Source organism: Homo sapiens, chromosome 17, assembly GCF_000001405.40.
Source record: "Homo sapiens chromosome 17, GRCh38.p14 Primary Assembly".
NCBI lineage: Eukaryota > Metazoa > Chordata > Mammalia > Primates > Hominidae > Homo > Homo sapiens.
The window spans coordinates 53,139,217-53,149,580 of record NC_000017.11 but is presented as its reverse complement, the minus strand read 5'-3'; the positions used below and the strand labels follow the sequence as shown (position 1 = coordinate 53,149,580).

The following is a 10,364-nucleotide window of genomic DNA, read 5'->3' as shown; positions in this document are numbered from 1 at the left end:
AGGCAGTGGCTGCCTGGGAGATGGAACAGCAAACATGAAGGTCTTGAATCTGGACTAAACTCACAGTGTTAGAAAAACTTCACAAAGGCCAGCGTAGCTGTGATTGAGTGAGTAAGAGGCACTGGGAGAAGATGAGTTTAGAGGAGCAGGCAGAATGTAGATGGTGCACAGCCTTAAAATCCAAGATAGATGTTCTATTTTTATTCTAAATGTAATGGAAAGCTTTTGTAAAATTTTGCCCTTTAAGAAATAATATTGTCTTATTCATGTAAACTGCACAGTTACTCTGGTTGCTCCAGGGCACAGTAATTGAAGCAGGAGCATGAGTTCATTGAACTCTCTTAATAAACTGGGTGAGAGAAGCTGTTGGCTTGATGAGAAAATGAAAGGTGCAGGTGGAAACGTGTGGTCAGATTTGTCATATATTTTTCTATTAAAGCCCACAAAAATTGCTGATGGCCTGAGATAGGGAGATGATTAAGCAAATAGCAGATTCCCAAGTTTTTAGTTTGAAAAATTATTTAATTTATGGTTTCACTTATTAAAATGAGAGACTCAAAAATGTCGTGGAAGAGGGAATCATGATTTTATTTTTTACCAAAGCAGCTGAACCTAACCGGAGAATCATCCAATTCTATTTGCTGATTCCCCTTTACATTTATGCCGTTTATTTCAAATAGGTTCATCTTATTGCCCATCAATACTACTATTCACAATTTACTGCACTTGTATATTATATTTACTCTTCACTTTTTCAAATTATTATTTTCCATGTTTCCTTCTCAAACTTCCAGGGCCCTTTTTCTATTCCTCAACCTCGGTAATTTTATAAATTAAAAGCAATCAAGGAAAAATAATATTCTTATCTATTTACTAACAAAACTATAAACCAACCTACTTTGTTCTAATACCTTCTGACTTTTGTTCAATTGCAGTGGAGAAAATATCACCTATCCTAATAAAAGACGACACCTCCAATTATTATCTGGATCCCTTCCGACTTGAAACTTTCAAAGACTTTCCTCAAATAATCATCCCTGCTTTGGCAACTTTTTTTTCCTCCTCTCTTTACAGAATTTGTTCCAATGAGTATGTAAGCAACCTCGATTTCCTTCATTTACAGGAAAAAAAAATAAGTAAATCTCTTCCTTAAGCTTGCTTTCCTCGCCAGCTACTATCTTTTTTATTCAATAACCTTCACTGCAAATCTTCCTGAAAAAGTACTTTGTAATTGATGTTTCTACTGCCTCACCATCAACTCTTGTCTACAACCCCAATCTGGCTTTTGTTACAACCACTTAACCAAATTGTTGTCAAGGTTATCAGAAAGGTCCAACCTACCATACTTTGTGCTCATTTTTTCTTTTTGTCCCTATGTTTTTAAAGCTCTCAGCACATTTCCTTCAATTCAGCACTCAGTCCATTTTAAACACTCATGCTCTACAAACTTCTGTGACAGCACAAAATCCTGATTCTTTTCTTATCTCACTGATCAGCTCTTTTCAATTACTCCTTTACTAGGTCATGTGAGCATCCCAAATTATGAGGCACCAAGGGCTTTGTACTTCAACTTGTTTTTATCTTTTCCTGTAAGCTGGTGCACTTTACATATCATCCTGATGCCCAATATTCCAAATTTTTTTATCTCTAGCTAGATATTTTCTTCAACCTCCAAAATAATATATTCAGCTGTCAATCAACATTTTTCCTTAAATGTGAAACAGGCACTTAAAAATTAACACATACGAAAGAGAACTCTCCTACCAACCTTCTACATTCCATCATATATCACCCCCATTCCAATAACTGCTCAAATTAAAAACCAAGAGGATCATCCTTGCTTCATCTTTTTTCCTCATCTTCCTAATCTAATTCCACAGAAACTTCTGCACTATAACCCAATTTATTCACTTCTCTCTATCTCCTCTGAAAACAATCAGGTTGAAGTCACACTTGTCACATGGATTATTGCAATTCCATCTAAACTAGATTCCATTGCTTCCCATCTTAATACTTTCCAATCTACTTCTCATGTAGCAATCTAATATTTTCTCCACATATAAATCAAATATACTTAAGACTCTTGGTGATCTTCCTATCATATCTTTATTTATAGTATAGCATCTATACTCTTTGCAAATTGCCCACAATAGCATCTGCATGCAGCCTTCTGTATCCCTGTATTCTGCTTCCCTGAATTCCACCAGCCACAGATAAAAATATTTCAAAAACAAGTTTCATAACGTTCCAAAAGAAAAGCAAAACTTGAATTTGGCGTGCACTAAATACTATGTTGAATCCATGCAAATGAAGTGATGTGTAGGCATTATGTTAGGTAATAAAGTAATCTAGAGATGACTTAAAGCATATGAGAGAGTGTGCATAAGTTATATGAAAATATTTTGCCATTTTATATAAGAAGCTTGAGTATTCCTGGATTTCAGTAACTACAGGGTTCCTGGAACCAATCCCCCACAGACACCATGGGATGACTGTATTTCATAGTAGCAGTATGGGTATGATGCTCACAATAGCATTCTATTTCCTTGTGATAACTCTACTTTAGCCCTGTCATGGTTATTAAGATGCCATGTCTCACCTTGGACTGAAACTATGCTAAGGTACTTCTGCCTTACTATCTGGCTCCCAGTTAAGTTTTGCCAACATGATGTACAAGAAAGACAGTGGAAAGCTTAAAGAGGGAGACAGAGAAGATCCTTTTTGTTTACTGACAGTTCTTAGCAGTGTCACCCCAGCAACACCACCTCCCCATGGCAGTGGCGGGTTGGTTCTAGTTTTCAGGGTTTATTCATATTCCCAGAACTAACTTTATTATACCCCTCAGAGAGTCCAATACAGCCACATGGGACCCTCAAAACCTATAGCCCCAGCTAGGGCCCCTCTTCCAGACCTTGAACTTGTATGAACCCTACTCCTTTGGTTCTCACTGCCCTAAAAGTAGCAACTGCCTCCTGCAGTAGCTTCCTCTGTGTTAATACAGCAATTCCTTTTTGCCTGTGTAGTCTTCTACCACGTCATTAGAATATTTCAAAATTAATTTGTACTTATTAAAATAATTGGTATTCTTCCTATTTTCCTGACTAGACCTGACTGATAATAGTGACAAACACCAATGGTATTTGTCCTCTTTTGTAACATGAACCAACCTCATCCCTTTATTGGAAATGTTTTCCCCAGGTCTTCACATTCTGGTTTTTCATAGAATTTAGGTGTCACTGGAATATCTCTGCCTAAGCAAATACTTCCCTGATGATCCAATTTAAATTATTCCTCACTCCTTGCCAGTCGAACTCACATTACTTTGTTTTATTCTTATTGTCTTTTTGAATTTCTAAAATTAATGCATTAATTTATGTACACATTTGTTTTTCTCTCCCTCGATAAAATGTAAGCTGCATGAGAGCATTTTTATTTTCTAACACTGTGCTCAGTACTTAGTAGGTAATCAACAAACATTTGCTGAATAAATGAAGTAATGAGCAAATAAATTCCAGAAAATGTGTGATGACCTAGAATATTGTTTTTTATAAGATTAACTGTGGGGTCCTTTATTAAGGGTAGAGCCCTTAAATTTGGTTTTGAAAAGAAATAAAATTAATTTATCATACAGAGTGCCACACAACAAGGGAAAATAAACTGAGGCATAACATATAATTTATGAGTATAAGCATTTATTGAGTATAAGTATTGGGTTTGATTATTTTGATGAGTGGCAGAAAAACCATTTGGATATTTTTACTTAACAAATATTTTGGTACTAAGTGCCTAAGTAAATGTTAGGCACTATTCTAAGCACTTATTTTTAATTATATATATATATATATAAAATATGTAATTAAGTATAAATAATTTGCTTTATCCTGCCTCATTTCTCCATATACTCACTCATTATGTCAATTTTTTACTTAAATCTTTGAAAGTATTTAAAATAGTTGAGTTAACCTCTTGGCCCATGAGTTTCATTACCCTTATCACTTCTGGCTAAGTTTGTCTTGACTCTTTCCTCCAGATTATGGGTCAATATTCTGATTCTTACATGTAGTATGTTTTATTGTAAGCTGGGCGTTATGTATGCTATGTTACTAAGATTCTGGACTTTGTTGTCTTTCAATAAAGTGAATTAACCTTTGTGTTGGAAAGCACTTAAGTCACTTGTGAATCCACTTGATCCTCCCAAGACTTAGTATTAACCTTTGTAAATGTAAGGTTGCAGTAGTATTGAGTCTGAAGATATTTCTGGGAGTTGAGTACATGTTTTTAAAATATTTTAGGAGCGAAAGGATGATAATAAAGACACAGAAAACAGTGGGGGATATTTTACCACTATAAAAAGTAATGTGATGTTTTAAAAATATAAGAAAAAATAATTGACAGTACTTGGAGAGCATTTGCATTTAGAGAATGAAGAAGAAACTCATGTTTCTTCCCTTCACTTTCCCAATATCTACATGGTGTGAGAGAAGCAATGCACCTACAACTACTATCATTTTCTCATACTATTCATGTTAAGAAAAACAGAGTAATTTATGCTGTTTAATAAATTAAACTCATTGTTTCTTTGACAAAACAAAGCAGTTTCATTCTTTGCTTGGAGAACAGATCCAAACAAGTTAGCAGGGTAAGGCTAGGAAGGACCATGATTCATAAAGTCACTCAGGAATCCAAGGTGACATAAATCCCATTATCTGTTATATGGGACTACCTTTTTAAGTTAAGAAGGAATAACGGGAACTGGATTTGCACAATTATTTGAAACAAGTAAAAGAATGGGACAAAATACATAAAAGTTTTCAGATATTGGAAGTGAGGCAGCATGGGACAGTGATAGCTCAGATAGAGAAAATAAACAAAGTAAGCCCAATTATTTACCCAAATTCCTGTCTGGAAAGAGTTTGAGTTGCAGTTCAGAAAGAGGGAACTCAAGAGGGGCCTAGTGGTCTCACACAGTTGAGCAAAAGGAGCTGGGAGTGTGCAGGGGTAGCTAAAATTTTCATGGAAGAAAACCAGACAGGAGAGAGCAACACAGAAGAGCTTTGAATATCCGCCTCCTCAAATATTTGAGTGCTGATCAGTACATGAGTGTAATGATCAGGTTGAAGAAAGAGCTGCCTGAAACAAACTGGGGGCACAATTCTCAGAGCTCACTCTTAACTAGTCACTCTTTGTACTCCTGCAAACCTTCAAGGAAGTAAAAGTAACTCAGTCTAACAAATCCCTTTTATATTGTATTAGAAATCATCAAACTACATTGTGGTTCTACTCAGCAAGAAGCATTTTACTATTCCTTTTACTTCTTATTGTTAGTCATTTCCTGCAACTAGAAAGATCTCAATTTACAGATTAAAAATCTGGGTCTCAGAGAGGATAAGTAATTCTCCAAGAGTATACAAATGCAAGGTTTCCAACAATGGTCTTTTAACTTAGTGTTTTCTAAGTTCAATGTCTAGTGTCAGGAAGTTACATGATTTTGGTTTTTATGCTTTGGTTGATTTGTTTGTTTTCTAAGTTAGAAAATCAAACTTCTGATGGGCAATAGATTTCTTCCTTCTTTTCTTTTTTGTTTTAAATTTGAATGTCAAATTTAAGCTGAAATTTTCCATATTATATAAAGAATCTTTATAGTACACCTGAACCAAATACATATAAATGAGTCTCTTTCTCTTCCAATTCATAGAATATGTGAATATATTGAATATATAATTGCAGACAGAGTCACAAACAATCAATGAGAAGCATTAAATTGCAATTATAGCACTTTATATTACTAATCAGGAATTGTGTTGGTAATTTTCAAGTAATATATACAAGGGGCTTTTTGGTATTCAGGCAATAGGAGTGGAAAGATCATCATCAAAGATAATAGCTTTGAGTTAATAAACCTAAAAAAGAATTCTCTTTTCAACATTATATGAATATAATTTAACAACCAAATATCTTGTATGTTGAATCAGTCAATTGTTTCAATAAAACACTATTTTAAATAATGTAATTTTACTCAAAAAGTCCCTCCCATAAATTTAGGAAATGTTATAGATTTTCTCACGCAGAAGATAATATTTACCTGAACACCCTAAAAGGAGAAAGAATAGTAATATTCTTATAACTGCTGTACCGATTTTGGATTATAGCTCTATTACTTTGAAAAATAAAAGTAAATTTCTCTTTATATATTCATCACCAAACATTTATTTAGTGTCTGTGTATTGGGCATAAAGCAAAAGCTTAGAATACTTAAATGGAGGATGATTTATTTTTGTTTTTGAGGATTTTAGAGTATGGTTGGGGAGGCAGAGAATTCACAAGAGACATGAACCTCTCCATCATACCCTTTCTCCTGGGAGGCTGAACTTTATGGACTGCCTCAACGGGAGTCACTAGCAGGAGATAAAAGGACGATCAGCAATTACAGTCAGCGTATTTATTCTCACAGTCACTTTCTTGCTGAGTCACTGCAGACTGGCTGTGCTGTGGCTTACTCTATACTGCTCACAGATTTAGAGACAGCCCATGGTCTTTTTGGGCTTCAGGGTGAAAGGTGGCCCACTAAAGCTAGTGTTATGCCATTGTAAAGTACCTTTTCAGTTTCCTTAAATCATAGCCACACCATTGTATGTGGTTGCTTTACTAAACTCTCCAATTAGCAGTGTGCTGCTTCCTGCTGGGACCTTACTAATGTTGGCATGTGCAAAGTGCCAAGGGCAAATAAATGAGGCACAAGCATGAGTGAGGACCTAGTACTTTCTGGGGAGTCAAACAAATCTAAAACCCCTCCAGAATATATAAAAGAAAGAATCCTGAAAAATTGAGAGTAGCCTAGTTGAATGCAAGGTGAGAATGCATAAAATTGCATAGATTGTTGCAGGAGAGGTAACTGGTAAAAATTAAAGATCATTATCAGTTACGAATAGTATGTTTAAAACCTCATTAACTACATTTCTACTATCATGTTATAAAAAACAAATATTCTGTAAATCTCAAGAAAACTTTTTTATGGATATATTTGCTTTTCCAAAATAAAATCAATGCCAAATTCAGCATTTGATAATCATATCCAAATTTCATTTTGAAATGAGATAATTTTTCTCATCCAAGTTCAACAATTTTGCCAAGAATTATGCTTATTAGTTAAAAACCAAAAACTCCATTTGTCAGTCTTTAAGCTTTTCCTCTACTTTTCTATGAAGGGGATTCTTGGTATCACCTTCAAGACAGAAGGTTCTAAAATGACTTACAGTAATAATTTAGAATACTTTCTGTCATGTTCAAATTTCAGAAAAGAAATATTTTAAAAAGGAAGAATACAGATAAAACTATCCTTTGGTAAGTTAGATATTTGTGAATATGCATTAACATAAAAGATAAATTGGAAGGTGATTATTGTAGTAGCATCATCTGACATATACTCACTAAGGCTGGACAGGGGTTCAGAGAATTGGCCGCTATAGTCAGCTCCAGAAGGGCATTCATTCGGGCCCAGTGTGGAACAGAGTGAAAATATGTCAATACTAATTCTGGAAATGGTCTTAATTGGTGTATTCAGCAACACAGGACACATTTGGAGTCAGTTAATATTAAGGGATAAGACAGATGGAAAAATATTGGTCAGAGGGCATGAGCACTGGGTCCAGTCCAGGAAAGAGGATTATTCTCTTAGAAGGTAAGTAGGCTGCCTTGGTCACGGCCAACAGACTGGAGTGCAGAAGAAGGCAGTGCTCCTGTTAGGGAATGGGAGTGAGTAGAGAGGGTGATGTGGACTCTGGACTAAGTCACAGGCAAGAAAACTGCTCAGGTCCAAGGAACTAAACAAGTAAAAGCTCAGTTGTGTCTGGTTTACATTGAGGTGAGAAAGAATACAATAGAGAGGGGAAAAATTAGTTCAATTGGAAAGATAATAATGTTCTCTAGGACCAAGTCCTGAATAACCGAAACTTGGCTTTGGTTGTTAGTCAAGGAAAGGGTAGGAAACCAGTGTGTAGATATGTTAGAGGCAAGACTCACCTAACTGGAAAACGAGGCAGAGATTACAAGAGGATACTATAAAAATGTCTGTTGCTTCTGTTTTATGGGGCCCAAGAACTGAGGTAAGCCCAAAGGCACAAGTAGGAGATGAGACAGATTACAAGGCAATAAATGGCACTGTTAAAGAGATAAGCTCATGTGTTTGCAGACAAATGTACCTATCACTCTGACGGAAATGTCTTTTTAGTGGGAGTAGTAAGCTTTCTTTAAATGCTATTCTATAAGACAGTGGTTTAGAGCCCTTCAGAATGAGTGGAAGATTAACAAAAATGTCCAATTAGTAGATTAACAATAATGACAACAAATTGCCTTTTTAAGAAGTACTTCTGTTTATTTATTATGTAGGTGTCTTGGATCTACAATTTGGTCTTTACATTCTGGGCACAGTATAATGTCTGAAAATTACTTCCAGAACAATCACATATCTATATTCAAAGATATGAGCAACAATTTTAACACAAAGAGTTAGGTGTAATGACTGACTCTGAAATAAATTATGCAATGTAGAGATAAGCAAACTGCTTTTCTAAAAATAAGCAAACATATTCAAATGACAACTGTTAACAAATTGTACATGACGCCCACTGTGAATTTAATCTCACCTTCTCAAACACTTCTGAGTCTGTGTGGTTAAGAGAAATGATATCCATCAGAGAGCATTCAGATTCCCATCTTCCTTTCAGCGGTTTTCTTTTCTATCCTCTACTTGGTTACTATCGTCATCTGCTCCTGTATGGCGACTTAATCTATGAAAGTCCTTATCCTAATTCTCTGTCTTTTTGTTTAAAGCCTATGAAGTTTCATAAATTGTGAATAATTTTTAACAATGTGTAGATTCTTCAGCCATGCTTTCATAGCACCAGTTATCTCTGTCATAGCCCACTTGTGAAATATTCTTAAGAAACTGGTGTGCTCTATGTTTAGACTATTCATTGTACGGGTATCAAATGACAATTCTTTTATGTCATATATTCTCCCTATGATCTGTTTTGTGCCTCCAGATAGAAGGTGTATAATCTTAAGCTGTTACTTTACCTTGGGAAGTCTCAGTTTCCAAATCTGTATAGTGAGACAGTAATTTTAACTACCTCTGTGCTTTTACGCAGATAACGTTAGAATAAGACATAGAAAAAGTATATCATAACCCATAGAAAATAAAAAGTTAATGTTAGCTCTTACTATTACATGCGTTAGCAATAATGTCTGCAGAATATCTAACATTTTTTATTATTGTTTGATATTTTAAAGTTTATGTGTATGCTACATATTTTTCTGTAGATGGAAAACAATGAAGATAATATGATGAGAAGTAATTATGTGTCAACTATACATAGTAAGACAATTATATTGAAGTCTTGGACGCTTTGTATACCTAAATATTTATCTAGGGACAATATATATGTTACACTTCTAAGCACTTACACGCTAGGTGCATTCTAAGTAATTCACGTGTATTATTATCACATAATTTGCACAATAAAAATTTAAGACAGATACTCATTGTACAACTTTTATACCTTAGGAAGCTGAATTGCAAATCAATAAAGAACTAGACAAAAGCCCCAGGTTTGTTTGAAATAGAACTCCCTTTTAAATCATGTTGTATTGGCTCCAAAGCACATATTCTTAACAATTGGACTTGGGAGGCTGAGGTGGGAGGATCACTTGAGGCCAGGAGTTTGAGACCAGCCTGGGCAACATAGCAAGATTCTGCCTCTAAAAAACATCCACCCAGGCTGGGCCGATCGCTTCCTTATATCAGAGCCCTTAGTTCAATGTCTGCTTAATCAATTGCTCAAAGTAAGCCTTAAGCAAAGACTTTATCAATTGGATATATTATGAAGTTTTGATGGGCAGTTTACTTATTTCAGGAACAGATCCTGTTTACTTTCCCTAAGTAGCTGCACTGCTCTCTAAACTTAGTTCTATAACCATGTCACACTTTCTCGGTGGAAGAAAAAGTTTATCTGACAGCAGATTCTCTCATGAAACTGCTCAAGGTATAAATTTAAAATCCTTACACAAATTTAAAATGAATAGGTGCCAAAGATTTTATTTAACTCATTGATAAGATTACCATTGAACTATTACTATTGATTCCAAGGAAAATTCAAACACACACACACACACACACACACACACAAACACATATGCCATCATGAACACTGAAACGAATGTCAAATAGAGACAAAACTGGTATTTATATAGAAATAATTGTACTCTAATCAGACAAAATGATTATTTTCAGTACTATCAGTTTTCTTTTTTTTTTTTTTGAGACGGAGTCTCGCTCTGTCGCCCAAGCTGGAGTGCAATGGTGTGAT

The 10,364-nt window shown here is 35.0% G+C and overlaps 2 annotated features.

Moving 5' to 3' along the window:
* Nucleotides 6,069-6,569: an enhancer, noted in NCBI's record as "NANOG-H3K27ac hESC enhancer chr17:51220373-51220873 (GRCh37/hg19 assembly coordinates)". NCBI's record gives its function as "activates a minimal SCP1, AML or CMV promoter by ChIP-STARR-seq in naive and primed H9 embryonic stem cells {active_cell/tissue: H9 hESC(naive and primed)}" and the evidence as "EXISTENCE:reporter gene assay evidence [ECO:0000049][PMID:30033119]".
* Nucleotides 6,570-7,070: an enhancer, noted in NCBI's record as "NANOG-H3K27ac hESC enhancer chr17:51219872-51220372 (GRCh37/hg19 assembly coordinates)". NCBI's record gives its function as "activates a minimal SCP1, AML or CMV promoter by ChIP-STARR-seq in primed H9 embryonic stem cells {active_cell/tissue: H9 hESC(primed)}" and the evidence as "EXISTENCE:reporter gene assay evidence [ECO:0000049][PMID:30033119]".